This window comes from Homo sapiens, chromosome 8 (genome assembly GCF_000001405.40).
Source record: "Homo sapiens chromosome 8, GRCh38.p14 Primary Assembly".
Lineage (NCBI taxonomy): Eukaryota > Metazoa > Chordata > Mammalia > Primates > Hominidae > Homo > Homo sapiens.
In genome coordinates this window covers 143,392,667-143,407,987 of record NC_000008.11, presented here as the reverse complement: position 1 = coordinate 143,407,987, position 15,321 = coordinate 143,392,667, and the positions used below count along the sequence as shown (strand labels likewise).

Here is a 15,321-nt window from a genome sequence, read left to right as displayed (position 1 = left end):
AACCCGATCTTAGCGCTAGGAGAAGGTCCAGGGGGTGGGCTCCTCGCAGAGGGCAGGACACCCACCTCCCCGTGCACCTGCTTCTTCTCCGGTCTCCCGCCCCCAGCAGCATTCTAGGACCCAGGGGTGTCATCGGGTCGGGGAGGGAGGGGCTGAGCCTGGGTTTGGGGACATCGGGACAGGGGGAGGGGCTGGCGCTCCCGTCTGGCCGGGACCCCGTGGCCTAGCGCGGCTCCACGACCGACAGACGGCAGCGGACGTGGGGGGTAGGAGCGCGCAGGGCGGGGGCGTCAGATGGCGCCGCCTGGGGCTGCCCCCCGCCCGCCATGAGGAAGCGAGTTGGGGCCCCGGGCTCTGCTTATCTGGAGGGGCCACGTGCCCGCTGCGCCCTGCGGATGGCAGGAGAGGTGACACGCCGACTGCCACCGTCGGTGCCCGGGGCTGCCCCGACCTGGAGGGTGGGGCGGGGGTACCGCGCGCGGGCACAGCTGTCTCCCCGCAGTTGCCCGGCTAGGGGTCCCCGGGCGGCCAGTGCACGTGCGCGGGGTCTGCTCCTGCGGGGTACAAGGGGGACAACAGCGAGGGTGGGCGAGGGGGAGGCGAGAGCAGAAGCGAGAAATGCGGGCACAGGGTGAGAAGCCTGGGACCTCCTGAGAGGGTGAGAAGGCCTGCCCCCAACGGACACCCTCATGCCTGAACCACCAGCCACTGAGCTCTCCTTGTCAAGAGTCCTGGGGCCCCTCGCCAGGGAGACGCCAACTGAGCACCCAGCAGGACGACGCCCCGCAGGGAAAGATGGCTTGGGTTGGGCCTGGGGAGTCCCTGCCGCCTAGACGGGTCCCTGGGGAGGGTCAGTGGCACAGCCTGGTAGACTGGGCCTGAGTCAGGCAGTCTTTCGGGGAGGACCCCTCACTCAGCGAGGGACCAGCACCCTGATTCCACCCTGTGGGCCGGGCTGGTACCGGCCTTCCCCTCAGGCTGTGGGTGCCAGGACCCCAGGGCCCCTCTTAGTTTCTGCCCGGCCAGCAGCAGAGCCTGTGATGGGGCGTGGGGGGCACAGGCAGCTCGTGCATGGCTGCAGTGGGGCCCGGCACAGGGCGGGAGACCCGGGACAGTGGCTTTGCCCCTGGGGTGGTGGCCAGCCCCACTCGGGTGTGTGATCACCCCTGGTCCCCTTACCAGGAAGGGGCATGACCTACCAGGCGGAGATTCCAGGCCCTGATGTCCTCGGCTCTGAGTGGCATCAGTGCCCAGGCCAGCCTGAGGCAGGCAGGGCAGAGCTTGGTTGTGCAGAGCAGGGGTCCTCCAGCCTTCCCTCCTACCTCTGCCTTCTCCAGGGGTTGTGGGCTGAGGAAGCTTTTGGATGCGGACCCAGGAGAGCCTCTTGGGAATAGCTGAGGCTGCCTGGGGTTGGAGAGGAAGCCTGTGAGAAGGCGGCCTCCTCCACTGTCCCTGAGGACCACTGTGGGGAGCACGCCCTGGGCAGAGTTCCCTTCCACCCGGGTCCTGCGGGGGAGGCCAGGCCAGCCTACCAGGTCCCCTGGCTGAAGGGGAGGGGCCCCAGCCCTCCCTCCTGGCTGCTGTGGGAGGCCTTGAGCCTCACGTCTCACCAGGCCGCGTGCTGTGGGTAGAGGTGGGGGTGGGAGCCCACAGGGGCACATCGCCCCAGTCCTTGGAAGAGGAGATGGTGGCATGGGCAGCGTGAAGTGGAAAGCACTCAGGCTGGCCGGGGCCACGCAGGGCCAGGGAGTTGAGGGAGTAAGGGCTGGGGTGCAGCTGTCTTGGCGGCTGGCAAGCAGGAGCGGTCAGGAGGCTGAGGTCCCTGGGGTGTGGCTGCAGAAGGGCCTGCAGGCCTTGGGATTTCAGCCTGCATCTGCGCTGAGCCAGGCGTCCTGCCCCCCTGGGCTGTGATAGGGACACATCAGATCTGCCTTGGGAGCCCAGGCTGGCAGAGAGAGTGAGCTGGGAGCTGGCACAGTCCTGCCTGGAGGCAAACAGCTGGAGGTGGAGGCCGGGCAGGGGCCTCCTGAGGACGGGGGTGCTAGGAGTGGGTGGGGCTTTCTCCTAGAAACCCCTCGGGCCAATACACTTGATTAAAATTAAAAGAATTTGATTCCAGCCAGCACTCAATGTGTTTTTTTAAAGCGATGAAATTCTTTGCTCATGGTTTCCCCAGTCAAATACTTTTGAGCAAAGTGGAATGTATTGGTCACAGATAGCTAATTTTCTTAGGGGTGGGGGGACTCGAGGCTGAGACCGGGCAGCCACGGAGGGAGGCGGAGGGCAGCAGGGGCTTCTCAGCTGCAGGTTCCTGAGCCCCTTCCAAGACTCTAGTTCTGTCAGGGTCCCAGTGAGGGGTCCTCGGGAGGAGTCCAGGGACAGGCTCCCTGCAAGCCCCCTCCCCTGCTGTCAGGGGCAGGGACACCAGGAGCTACCCCGGGGCAGATCCCTGCCCTTGGGATTCCGAGGCCCAGCCCAGCCGAGGAGCTGCAATTTTACAAACAAACACCTGCAACACTGCCATTTGCTCCAAGGGGACACCTGGCATCAGGCCGGACACCTGGCATCAGGTCGGACACCTGGCATCAGGCCGGACACCTGGCATCAGGTTGGACACCTGGCATCAGGCTGCACACCTGGCATCAGGTCGGACACCTGGCATCAGGTTGGACACCTGGCATCAGGCCGGACACCTGGCATCAGGTTGGACACCTGGCATCAGGCTGGACACCTGGCATCAGGTCGGACACCTGGCATCAGGTCAGGCGTGCAGGATGGGACAAGAAAGGAGTGGGATCTTACTGGGGAAGGCAGGGCACGCCTCCCTCGCTGACAGGGGATTCCCCAGCAGGAGCAGCAGGCAGGGTGGGGGTAGAAGCCCACAGACTTCTGGGAGGGATGTGCGGGGGCCCAGCTGACCACGTGGCTGGATCACCAGGGCCTGCAGGAAGCGTAGGGGCAGCAGCGAGAGGGAGGGCTTCCTGGTGGAGGTGGCATCTGACGTAACCCTGCAGGGACCCACAGCCAGTCAGAGAGGCCAGAGACCAGCCGAGCCAGGGGACCGAATAGCAGGGACACAGGGGCTGGAGAGGTCAGGGCCCCAGCTGGGTGGCAGAGGCAAAGTCACCCCTCTCTAATTGTCTCTGACTTGTACACCCCACCACCCACAGGGCTCCTTGGGGTGTGGGGAAGGCATCCCCAGTCAGCCCAGCCCTCCCGGCCCTGCCAGAGGGAACTGGAGCCTTGGGGTTGGGTTTCAGGCCACTCTGCCGGACCACGAAAAAATGCAGCCAACCAAGATTGGAAGGTGACCTCAGCCCGGGGGGTGGGGGGCAACCCCAGAGCCTCCCGCCTGCCCCAGCCTCTCCTCTGATAACCAGGGGTTCCCCCCAGGACCTGCCTGGGTATCCAGCCAGGTGCCAGCCTGGACCTGGACTCCCGTGGCTGCCAAATCAGGCTGTGACTGAGGTGGGGGATGGGCATGGGTGGGGCAGCTCTGGGATGGACTGTCTGGGGATGGGGACCCTGCGGCAGGACCCTCCACCAGATGAAGAGGTGGGAGCTTCCCTGGGAGGGTCCCAGGGTGCACACAGCTGTCCCCGGAGCACCAAGGATTGCACAGGACCAGCCAGGCCCTGCCAACGACAGTGACACATCCCCCGCTCTGGGTTGTGGGCACCTCCTTTGACACTTGGTGACCTACATGTCAGCATGAACTTCACAGCCCTGAGGACTGTGGGCACCTAAAGGCTCGGGGGCTGGAGGAGCAGGTCCCACACAAAGTAGGACATCAGAAAGGCGGGGCCCTCCCCAGGAGCAAGACCACCGACGAACAGCCTCTTCACAATCAGTTTCCATGCCCGGGATTGCTGCCGGGCCACCCGCTGCCATGGGGATTGGAGAAGGATGCTTCAGGGTGGGCAAAGGCTGGGAGGTCTGCCGACCATGTTCCCTTTGTTTTTCCTTCTCTTTCGCTCTTTCTTTCTTTCCTTCCTTCCTTCCTTCCTTCCTTTCCCTTTCTCTCTCTTTCTTTCTTTCTTTCTTTTTCTTTCTTTCCTTCTTTTCTTTCTTTCTTTCCCTCCCTTCCTTCCTTCCTTCCTTCTCTCCCTTCTTTCTCTTTCTTTCTTTCTTTTCTTCTTTCTTTCTCTCTTTCTCTCTCTCTTTCTTTCTTTCCTCTTTCTTTTTTAGACGGAGTCTCACTCTGTCACCCAGGCTGGAGTGCAGTGGTGTGATCTTGGCTCACTGCAACCTCCGCCTCCCGGGCTCAAGCGATTCTCATGCTTCAGCCTCTTGAGTAGTTGGGATTACAGGCATGTGCTACCATGCTCGGCTAATTTTTTGTATTTTAGTGGAGACAGAGTTTCACCATGTTGCCCAGGGTGGTCTTGAACTCCTGAGCTCAGGCGATCCGCCCGCCTCAGCCTCCCAAAGTGCTGGGATTACAGGCGTGAGCCACCGTGCCCGGCCCCGCATTCCCTTTCTGAGGGAGCGAGCAGGCAATGCACTCTAGAAATGGGAGAGAAAACCAGGAAGGAAGAAGATGAGGGTTCCAGGAAAAGCCCAGGGAAGCTGCCACAGGGCAGTGACTGTGTCATCCCAGAATGACGGACATACTGGAGAGAGACGGGCCCGAAGTTCACCTTGGGAGGCTGAGTTAGCAGGAGCCTTTGGGGAGTTCGAGACCAAACTGGTCAACCTAGTGAGACCCTGCCTCTACACAAAATTTAAAAATTAGTTTGGTGTGGTGGCACTAGCCTGTAGTCCCAGCTACTCCGGAAGCTGAGGTGGGGGCCGACCGAGACTGAAAGGTGATCTCTGCCCCAGGGGTGGAGAGGGGGCACCCCCAGAACCTCCCACCTGCTTGAGGATCGCTGGAGTCCCAGGAGGTCAAGGCTGCAGGGAGCTGCGATTGCACCACGGCAGTCCAGCCTGGGCGACAGAGCGAGACCCTGTCTCAAAAACAAACCAAAACAAAAGGTCCTGAAATCATGCTGTTGACACTCAGTGTGGGGACAGGCCATGTGCAGGCCAGGACAGAGAGGGGTGAGTGAGCAGGAGAGAGATGGGGTGGGGGTGGAGACATGAATGGAGAGAGAGGGAGAGAAAGAGACAGAGCGAGACAGAGATAGAGAGTGCACGCCTGACTTCAGGACAGTGCAGCCCTCAGGCCACCATGACTGTGGGCAGTATCTACACTGTATCTACGCTGTCCAGGGTGACCAACCAGACCCGCGGCTGTGACCACAGCTGGTGATGACAAGCAAGAGGCAGCTGGGGTCAGGGGCAGGAGATTCCTGTTCTGTGGAAGGCAGGCAAGGGCGAACATCTGAAGCTGAAAGGAGAACGCTGTGAGGCCGGCAACGGAGAAGCACAGAGAGAAGGCGGGAGTGGCAAGAGGCACCGATGGCAGTGGCCGTGCAGATGGGGCAGCCTCGGCAGGACAGCTGGGCACAGCTTAGGACACTCAGCACACTCTCACCACACGGGGTCTGGGAGCGGACTCTCAGTGTTCACCCAGATGAGCAGAAACTGACCAACCCCCATGCGGATGTCAAGGCAGCTCTGTTCTTCAGAGCCAAGCCTGGAGCGGGGTTGGGAGATCAGCCCCAAACCTCCAGACAGGGGGATGTTACTCAGCACCACAGGGAAGGAGCTCTCCAGCCCGGAAAGACCAGCAGGAGCCTTCGAGGCACATTTCTAAGGGAAAGACGCCCTCTGAAAGGGCCACATGCTGTGAGTCCCACCAGAAGGCACTCTGGGAAAGGCAAAACCACAGGGAAAGGAAGAGTCTGCGGCTGCCAAGGTCGGGAGAAGGAGAGCTGGGGGCGCGGCAGGGGTGCTGAGGGTGGTGACGCCCCTCCGTGTGGTGCCACGACGGTGGAAACAGCAGTGTGCACCAGAACCCACGTGGCACACCTGGGGTGAGCCCCGGTGTCAGTGCAGACTTCGGGCGAGCCCTGCGGCTGATCAGTGATGCCAAACGGAGCACTGTGGGGCTAAGCGGGGAGCGGGGACAGGTCGAGGGCAAGGCCCGCGGCTCTGCACTTTCTGCTTACTTTTCTGTAAATTTTAAAATGCTCAACAAAAAAGTCTATAAATTCTACATACAAATGGAAACAGCAGAAAGACTTGCAAGCCAGGATGCCCCGCCCGCTGGGGGGGATGCCGGGAAGGGGGTGCTGAGGGGCTGGGATCCACCTGTCCCGAGGGTCTCCAACCCTCCTCCCAGCCCTGGGTCACAGGTGGGATGACGCTTGGGCTGTGGGCAAGAGCTCGCTGGATATGCCTCTCCTTTGTCTCTGTCTCTCTTCATCTACCTGTGTCTTCTCATCGCTCTCCCCCACACCGCCCTGTTTCTCCCACCCTGCCTCCCCTCCCCTCCCCTCTGCCCTCCCCTCCCCTCCCCTCCCCTCTGCCCTCCCTTCCCCTCCACTCCCCTCCCCATCTCTGGGCCGCCTCCCCTGACAAGCTGATCAATTGCTCATCACCGCTGGCAGGAGGTTCTAACTCAAGTGTGGCATCTTAATCAGCACCTCTGCTGTCCCAGGCCATTGACTGCCTGCTCCGGCCAACAAATGAGCCCATTGGCCAGGCCCCCTTTCCACCCGCCAGGCCTTGTATGCCTGCTGGGCTCTGCACGCCGTCTGGTGGCCGTAGGGTGCAGCACAGCCTGGGGTGTGGAGGGAAGGCCGGGGAGGGGAGGCTGGCAAGGTGTCCCTGAGGTCTACGCACTGGGCAGCTGGGAAGAGGCTCCAGCAGACACCCCCATCTCGAGCCCGCTGCTCACCCTGGACCCCCTTTTCCCACCTCCCACAGGACTGGCATGCCCTCTCACCCCTGCACAGCCTCCACTCACCCTGCACAGCCTCCTCTCGCCCCTGCACAGCCTCCTCTCACCCCTACACAGCCTCCTCTCACCCCTGCACAGCCTCCTCTCGGCCCTGCAGCCACTCACCCCTGCACAGGGGGCCACAGACCCAGCGCGCATACCATGCCCTTGCAGGTCCCCACCTTGCCTGCAAGCCCCTCCCCCCTTGCCGATGGATGCTGTGGCTGGACCCGCCCCCACCCAGCTGCACACCCAGGCCCTGGAGGGCAGGGGTCTTAGTCCACTGGGTCACAGCTGTTCCTCAGGGCCCTGCGCTTGGGGGACGCTCAGCAGGGCCCACTGCTGAATGAATGCACTGAGCTGTCCAAGAGCAGGAGAGCCCAGAGGTTCAAGACCGGAGTCTGGGCGCAGCCCAGGTGGGCACGGGCCTCAGCTTGGGGTGCCCGAGCTGCTCCTCTGAGGAGCATTCCCAGGTGTGTCTGTTGAGGTTATGAGGGTTCAAGGGACTCCTGGGAGTTGGGGTTCAGGGTCTTTCCTGGAGAGGGGTGTGGAGTGGTGTGGAGGATGTCGTGAGACAGAGGGAGAACAAGGCCCCCATGGACTATGCCCCAGGGCTGGAGGGGGCCTGGCACACTCCCACCCCTCCCGCCCTCAGCCAGCCTGTGAGGCCGGCATGCAGGCACAGGTGTCCCAAGACCTGTGCCCACCCCATCGCAGGTCCTTAGTGCTCCTCTCTGCCCCGATGACAGCCCGGTGACCAGGGGTTGGGGGGGCAGCCAGCCCCCAGGTTTTCTGTCCCCTCCCCAGGCTTCTCTGCCCCTCCCTGCTCCAGATGCCCCCCCGGTGGGGTCCAATATGGTGTCTCCTCAGGAGCCTGGGACCCCCAGAGTCTCCTTTCCTCAGCCCACGAAACCGTCTTTCATGGGGCCATCTGGTGACTGCCTCCCCCATCAGACTGGCAGCCCGAGCCGGCCGTTAGCAGGTGCTCAGTGGGGTGTGGCCCGGGGTCCCCAGGGGCCTCTCTTCTAGGGCTTGTACCCTCCCCCTGCCTGGGCCCAACCCTCAGCCTGTGTCAGTGCCCCCCTGGCTGTGGGGGTGAGTGTGGGCCCTTGAGCCCAGCAACGGGGTGATGCAGGGGTGAACCCCACTGCCCACCCCTTTCCTGCTCCAGAAGCCTCTCCGGGAGATCCCAGCCCCCAGCAGACTGCAGGCCCAAGGTCAGCGGTCTGCGTATTGACAGCGGCCGACTGCCCCGGCTGGCAGGGGAGGGTGAAGGCTGCACGCGGCTCGACGCGGCCCATCTTGTGAGACAATAAATTTGGCCATTGACCCAGCAAGCAGACGTCGATAAATGAATGGTTAATATAAACATTGTCCTTCCCAAATTAATCCGGGCCTCAGGGGTGGGGGCACAGGGCAAGTGGGAAGTTGAAGTACAGAGGAAACAGGGCAAGGACAGTGATGTGTGGGTGGCCAGCCTGTCCCAGCCTCCCGGGACACACCCCTGCCAAGGCGAGGTCTTTCTCTCCTCTGGGGGCTCCTGGGCAGGTGTTTGCCCAGTGCCAGGAGGGCAGCCAGGTTTAGCAAACAAAAATCCAGGGTGCGGAGTTACATTTAGATTTCTGATTAAAAAAACAACAAAACCATTTTAGTCTAAGTATATCCCATGCACTGTTTGGGATATACTTATACTTAAAAAAAAATTCATTGCTTGTCTAAAATTCACAAGTACCTGGGTGTACTGAATTTTATCTGGACACCCTGTGTGAAAGGCAGGAGGGGAGTCTGGTGGCCCCAGAGCTTGGCTGGGTCCATACTGCCTCAGCCCTGCCCAGCTCCAGTGCCCCTGACACCCCCAACCCTCACGGAGCCACAGCCAGCAGGATCACAGGGGGGCAGCCTGGAGCCAGGGCTCAATAGAGGTGGTGACATCAGACTGATGTCATCATTGTGTCCTGCGCTGTGTCCTGGCACGCCTCCAGTGACGCTCACCTCTGTGGCCTCTGCTTCCCCACCGAGGGAGGAGGTGGGTTCGGGAGGGGAGTGTGCAATTGAGGACTGCCTCCCGGAGGAGTAGTGGGCATTGGCTATGGCCCAGGGGTACGCCCTTGCCCCTCTGCGGTGGGGCTTGCATATCTCTGGGGTGCAGGCCAGGGCCCGCACCTCCCATCAAGAACCCTATAAATAAATAAGCTGGTCATATAAATAAACCACAGCCTGCCAGGCAGTCCTGACCCCAGGGCAGCTGCAGTGCCGGGCCAGGCTATCTCTTGCACCCAAGGCCTGCCCACACCCTCTGGGAAGAGTGAAGAAACTGCCAGACCCTCCCCACAGGCCCAGAGGAGGCTCCTAGAAGCCCTGGGCTCCCAGTACCCACAGCTGGGCCTGGGTGCTGAACCAAGGGGAACCCCGGGGAGCTGCTGGCTCCCTCCCCCACACCTGGCACCCAGTCCCACAAGGCCGGTGGCTGGACCCTGTCTGGGCTGCCTGGAGCCTAGCTGGCCTCCCACGAACCCTCCCGCCCAGGTGATAGGCAGCTGAGGCCCAAAGCCCCAGCTGAATGAGCTTGGTTGGGGTGGGAGAGCTAACAAATCAGCTCCAGGCTCCCCCAGCCCAAGCAGGAGTCCCCGGGTTCTGGTGCCCCCAGGGTTGGACTGTGATGGTGCTGGGACTGCCTTGCGCTGCCCTATTGGCCAGGGAGCCGCCTCCTCCCACACTTCCTCCCTGCTGTCCTTCTCGGAAGACGCCTGCCCCCACCCCGGAGTCTGGGTTGGGGGAGGCCACCCTCAGAGGCCTCCAGCCCAGACCAAGGAGGAAGAGGAAGACCCCAGGGTCCAAGATGGATGGGCCCCTGGGGCCTTGGCCCCGCCCCAGCCAGGCAGATGGGGAAGCAACTGTCAGCACCTAATGGGCCCTGTGACGAATAGGGCGGGGGTGCTGGCGGAGCTTCCGAATATCCCTGCAGAGTCCCCAAGGGCAGGGCAGTTCCGGCCCAGCATGGAACGATCAACACCGGGGTCTGGGGACCCGCAGGGCTCTGTCCCCTGCCCCTGAGTTCTTGGGTGGGTTCTGGGGGTCCTGGCAGGGAAGAGGCGGCAGTGGGAGATATCTGAGGTGGTCCCGGGCTGCCCCACGCCCCTCCCAGGCTCACCGAGGGGATGCTGAGCTCAGCGCTGGCTGGCTGAGGGCTTTAGGGACCATTAAAAATGCTCTCTGCCGGCCGCTGTGAGCTGTCCATTTGCTGCTGGCCTGTAGTTACTGCGGCCCCACCCCCACACATCCGCCCTCAAACCCTCACCCTCAGGGCCTCTCTGGCTTCCGCCACCCTTCCTGGGTGAGGGGCCCCTCCACCTGCCCAGCCAGAAGGATGCCCGCCCCTCGCCAGAGCCCCTTGGGGAGACCCCATGCTGAGCGAAGGTGGTGGGCACAGGACACATGCTGTGACCCCAGTGACCTAAGGCTCTGAGGCTCCGATTCACAGGGTGGGGACGGGGGCTGGGGAGGCGAGTGTTTCACGGGAACAGAGTCAGTTTGGGAAGATGGAAGATTCTGGAGGCACGAGGATGTGGGCGCGCTTCACACCACTCAGGTGCACCCTCAGAGATGGCTGAAATCGTAACACATTTTACCGTAATCACAATTTTAAGTAATCAAGCCGTCCTGTGGGGTCCTCTATGGAGGCCCAGCTCTGAGTGGGACACTGGGCTTGGGAGGTGACCGTTTCAGGACAGCCTGTCCTGGGGCTCACGAGGCCAGCCTAACCCTCCTGCCAGGGTCGGGGTGACTGAGGGAACCAGGGGACATATGGGTAGGTGGGCCCCTTCCATCACTGCCCCCTAGGAGGAACAGTGACAGTCCAGGAGGGGACAGTGGGAGGGTAGAGCACCCAAGGTTTGAGCAGAAGGGCATGGGCGGGGCCCTGCCGCCCAGCACCCTGTGGGAGTCCCTGGAGGGCAGGCCTGGCCCAGGCCAGACCCAGGAGGGCTCTGGGAAGAGCAGGGCTGGAGGCAGGCGCCACATACAGTCAGGGTCCAGCTCCTGGAACAGAGGAGTCAATGCTGGGGGTGCGGGGAGGGAGTTCCCTCGATGGCAGTGGAATCTGGGACCCTCAGGCCACTGGAGCTTCCCAGCCTGGCAGGCAGCCACTGCAGGCCTTCGCTGTCTGCGCCCGCCCTGCACTCCGCACCCTCGCTGGGTTGGCGTCCGGGACAGGGCAGGCCGGAGTGGGAGCACCCCCATGCGTGGGGCTCTGGTGTTGGCGGGAGGTCCTCAGGCCTGGGACCCTATCTTGGCAGTGGGATTTGGGGCTCAACAGAAGGAGCAATTCTGCCTCAGTCCAGTCACTGAGGGGCCTTAACTCCCTCCCTGGAGCCCCAGCAGGCGGCTTTGGGCTTCCCTGTCACACAGAGGCTGGGGATGCTGACCTGGCAGCGGGCAGAGTGAGGCCGCGGGAGGGCTGCCTGTAGAGACAGGGGCCACCGCCAGTCCAGGAGAGATTCAGAGGGCGTCTGGCTTGGCCCAGCCACGATCGACCCCGGGAGGCTCTTCCGAGGTGCATAAAACTGCTTGTTCTCCCGGTTAGAAAAATGGCCCTGCTCTGGGATAATTGATTGATTTTCCTCTTTAGGAATATTCACAAGCGCCAGTTCCAAGAACGGATCAATCCTAGCCTCCTCACAAGTCAGCCACGGGGAGGGGGAGCAGCCAAATGCAACCACCCCACGGCAGGGCCCACCCAGCCTCCTCTCAGCCCCACTGTGCACCCCCAGACGCTGTGCCAGGGTGGGGAAGGGATGGATGCTGGGGGCAGGGGCCGGGCCTGCCCTTGGAGGCTTCAAGTCAAGCCTCAACAGAGAGCCCTGAACAGGCCAGTAGGTGAGTGTCTAGGTCCCACCTAGCCAGGTCCCATATGCTATGTGACCCTGCACAGGTCTCTGGACTTCTCTGGTGCTAAAATAGGAGCACAAGTCCAGCCCCACAGACCTAAGGGCTGTATCAGGGTCCTAGGAAACCTTTCAGCTGCTCTTCCAACCCACTCCCCACAGTGACCAGGCGACCTGCTCCAAGTTCTGGCCCTGCCAAAACTTATTCTGCAGCCCCCACGAGCTGGCCTGCCTGACCTCCTCTCCCTCCTCCCTAACTCCCCACACCATGCTGTTTCAAGCTTCCTCAGTCAGCCTAAAGAACTCCTATTCATTCTTCAAAACCCTCTGCAGTTGCCCCTTCCCAGGGAGAACTGTACTTCTCCCCTTTGGGTAGCTCCATCCTGGTACCTGTGCACCAAGGACTTGTCCCCGGGCGGCTCCCCTCACTCCTCCAGCCCATAGGGACGGAGGGCTTACAGAATAGACGGCTGGGGCCCAGGCTCCTACAGGGAAAGCAAAGACCCAGGTTCCCAGAGTGGGTAGTAAACCAGTCTCAAGTGTGTTTTTCTTTAAGTGCTTATCTGTTCAGATGAGCTCACATGGTGTGTGCATTATAAAACCCACCACCCAGAAACACACAAGCTTATTCAAGGATTTACCGCAGCCTGGACAACAGAGCGAGACCCTGTCTCTACAAAAGATAGAAATAAAGTAAAAAAATTAGGCTGGGTGCGGTGGCTCACACCTATAACCCCAGCATTTTGGGAGGCTGAGGCGGGCGGATCACTTGAGGTCAGGAGTTAGAGACCAGCCCGGCCAACATGGTGAAACTCCATCTCTACTAAAAATACAAAATTAGCCAGGAGTGGTGGCACATGATCTCAGCTACTTGGGAGGCTGAGGCAGAAGAATCACTTAAACCTGGGAGGCAGAGGTTGCAGTGAGCCGAGATCTGCCTTTGCACTCCAGCCTGGGCGACGAGCAAAACTGCGTCTCAAAAAAAAAAAAGTTAAAAAAAATTTTTAAAATTAGCCAGGCACAGTGGCTCATGCCTGTAATCCCAGCACTTTAGGAGTCTGAGGCAGAAGGATCACTTGAGCCCAGGAGTTCAAGACCAGACTGGCCAACATAACCAGACCTTGTCTCAACAAAAAATAAAAAAAGCTAGCTGGGTGTGGTGGCATGCACCTGTGGTCCCAGATGCTTGGGAGGCTGAGGCGGGAGGATCACTTGAGTCCAGGAGGTAGAGGCTTCGGCGAGCCATGATTGTGCCACTGCACTCCAGCCTGGGTGACAGAGCGAGACCTTGCTAAAAAAAAAAAAAAAAAAAAGGCTTTCCCTGTTCAGGAGAACTCATGTGTCCATTACAAACACACACAAGGGAAACCCAAGCAGATGTGAACCCCAGCTCTCACACTTTGTCCCACTCCCTCATCTACTCTGGAGTTGCTGGGATCGCCACTGTCAGGAAATGAGGTCAGCTGTGCACACAGAGAGGAAGGGAACCCTGGCGGAGGGGACTCTGCAGGGGTGGGAGGCAGGGCCCCAGCCCAGAAGTGCTCACTGCTAGGATCCTGCTAGGGGAGGGGCCTGGATTTCTTCCCTTACTTGCAAGCCCCCCAGGGCCTTTCCCGGGGAAGCTGCCCCTGACCGGCTGCTCCACTGTCCTGGCCACAGCCTTCACCTGGGAGGAACAGACACTCTTTGCCCTGGATGGGCCTGGAGAGGCTGGGTGGCCCATGTCCACCCTCACCAGGGCAGCACCCGCTGGCTGCCATGCTTCGTGGGCCAGGCCTTGACCCCAGGTGGATTAATCTCTTCTCTGTCCCATCTGTGTCCCTGGCCTCTGTGCCTCATGTGAACTGCCCAGCCAGGGCTCCTAAGGGCAATAATGGAGGTGGCCGGGCAGGCCTGGTGAGGAGCTCTGAGCCCTCGTCCTGGGGACAGTGAGCCATGGGCCCTCTAACCGGGCAGGGCCACTGGGCCTCCCCGTGGACACCCCGTGATGGGGGCCCACCCGCCCCACAGCCCCCTGGCCCCACAGCCCCACACGCTCTGGGTCAGCCCTGCCTGTTAGCAATTCCACCTGAGAGTGATGTACCCAGGAGTTCCTGCAGGGGCCCGGCTGGCCCCATCTCAGAATCCTGTTGAGGGTCAGCGGCCCACATGTCTGTACTAAAGTCCCAGGAGTGAGGCTTGCGGGGCTGCCCTGCTGGGCCTAAGAACCCACTGGGGAGATGGGCTGAGCGTTGAAGCCATGTGCCACCAGCTGGCTGCCCGACCTGTCTCTCAGGACGGCGCCCTACTATGGCTCCAGGGCCAGGCCACTGTTCCTGCCCCAGCTCCCCAGGGGGCTGAGGACGGCACCAGGCCGGATGATCTGCTATTGATGAGGTGGGGGCGGCAGGGGGCAGGCCAGGTCTGGGTCAGCAGATCCGCTCCGGCATCAGATGTGCCCGGACATTGATCAGACAGATGAGGGCCTGGCTGGGCCTGGGGGTGGGGGTGTCCACCCAGCAGAGGCCACGGAGTGAGCACTGATCTGGAGAAGCACCTCCTCCCACCCCAACCCCCACCAGGCACTGCTCCATGGACCCAGAGGCCTGAGGGGACTCCAATGCTGCCCTAGGGCAGTGGACAGAGCTGAGGCCTGGCCCCCCCTGCTGTGAGTGGCACTCAGCCCTGCCCAGGATGGGCAGGGGGACCCAATCCCTGGCCCGTGAGCTCCACCTTGGCCCCAGGCCGAAGGGTGGGAGGCTCCGTGACCTCTGCACCCAGGGGCAGCTACAGCCCCTTCCCAGGTGCCTGCTGGCCCTGAGGGCCGGGCTTTACTGGCTGCCCAGCCCTGGGCATCCCAGATCCTCCCAGGTGTGAGAAGAGACAGCCCCAAGGGAGACCCTGAGGGGAGGGTCCCCAGCAACAGAGAGGGAGGAGGCCGCTCAGAGGCTGTGGGGCGGTGGGGAGAAGGCAGACACAGACCCAGAGAGAAGGAGGGAGCAGGGACCCCAGATACCCACATGAGACCTGCAGACAGACACACTGGGGAAGGATGAAGATTCCAGGACAAAGACAGAGACCAGCAGGAGGGGGTGTGTCCCACCGGCAGGGAGGGGCTGGGAAGTCAGGAATGTGGCTGCTTGTGACAAGGGCCCTATGCCAGCCCTGGGCACCCCTCAGAGGTCACCTTGGGGTGGCCCTGCCAGCCTGAGCAATTCATGGCTGGTGCATGTCATCCACCAGATCGACCATGGGAAGCAGGTGTGCTTGGTGGGCACTGGGAGCCTCTGGGACCCCGGAGCCAGGCAACCCAGAAAACCGCAGACAGGTCCTTGGGCCACCACACCCACCCCACCAATCCACCACTAATGAATTGGGATTTGATCCATGAGACAATAGTGGTGGCCAGGCTGGCTCCAGCAGGGCTGAGTGAGCTGAGTGCTGGAGCCCCGGAGACAGCTGCACACCGGCTGGGGTGCTGCAGATTGGGGGCTGGCGCTGCCCACCGCCCCTCATGCTTGTGCCCTTGGGCAAAGGCACTCCCTTCTGGGCTGTGGCTCCCCAACTCAACGCAGGTGGGAGCACCCTGAATATCCCCTCCTCCCAGCCCTGGTATTGTCCCTCCCTGGC

At 61.8% G+C, this 15,321-nt stretch overlaps 7 annotated features.

The window, feature by feature from the left end:
- Nucleotides 33-352: a silencer, noted in NCBI's record as "silent region_19620". NCBI's record gives its function as "represses an Ori minimal core promoter by ATAC-STARR-seq in GM12878 lymphoblastoid cells {active_cell/tissue: GM12878}" and the evidence as "EXISTENCE:reporter gene assay evidence [ECO:0000049][PMID:35858748]".
- Nucleotides 1,376-2,355: an enhancer, noted in NCBI's record as "H3K4me1 hESC enhancer chr8:144487803-144488782 (GRCh37/hg19 assembly coordinates)". NCBI's record gives its function as "activates a minimal SCP1, AML or CMV promoter by ChIP-STARR-seq in naive H9 embryonic stem cells {active_cell/tissue: H9 hESC(naive)}" and the evidence as "EXISTENCE:reporter gene assay evidence [ECO:0000049][PMID:30033119]".
- Nucleotides 4,895-5,541: an enhancer, noted in NCBI's record as "H3K27ac-H3K4me1 hESC enhancer chr8:144484617-144485263 (GRCh37/hg19 assembly coordinates)". NCBI's record gives its function as "activates a minimal SCP1, AML or CMV promoter by ChIP-STARR-seq in naive H9 embryonic stem cells {active_cell/tissue: H9 hESC(naive)}" and the evidence as "EXISTENCE:reporter gene assay evidence [ECO:0000049][PMID:30033119]".
- Nucleotides 5,542-6,189: an enhancer, noted in NCBI's record as "H3K27ac-H3K4me1 hESC enhancer chr8:144483969-144484616 (GRCh37/hg19 assembly coordinates)". NCBI's record gives its function as "activates a minimal SCP1, AML or CMV promoter by ChIP-STARR-seq in naive H9 embryonic stem cells {active_cell/tissue: H9 hESC(naive)}" and the evidence as "EXISTENCE:reporter gene assay evidence [ECO:0000049][PMID:30033119]".
- Nucleotides 6,190-6,837: an enhancer, noted in NCBI's record as "H3K27ac-H3K4me1 hESC enhancer chr8:144483321-144483968 (GRCh37/hg19 assembly coordinates)". NCBI's record gives its function as "activates a minimal SCP1, AML or CMV promoter by ChIP-STARR-seq in primed H9 embryonic stem cells {active_cell/tissue: H9 hESC(primed)}" and the evidence as "EXISTENCE:reporter gene assay evidence [ECO:0000049][PMID:30033119]".
- Nucleotides 6,515-6,691: a silencer, noted in NCBI's record as "fragment chr8:144483467-144483643 (GRCh37/hg19 assembly coordinates)". NCBI's record gives its function as "represses an EF-1alpha promoter that drives an FKBP-Casp9 reporter gene in an ReSE screen in HepG2 liver carcinoma cells and K562 erythroleukemia cells {active_cell/tissue: HepG2 | K562}" and the evidence as "EXISTENCE:reporter gene assay evidence [ECO:0000049][PMID:32094911]".
- Nucleotides 6,838-7,485: an enhancer, noted in NCBI's record as "H3K4me1 hESC enhancer chr8:144482673-144483320 (GRCh37/hg19 assembly coordinates)". NCBI's record gives its function as "activates a minimal SCP1, AML or CMV promoter by ChIP-STARR-seq in primed H9 embryonic stem cells {active_cell/tissue: H9 hESC(primed)}" and the evidence as "EXISTENCE:reporter gene assay evidence [ECO:0000049][PMID:30033119]".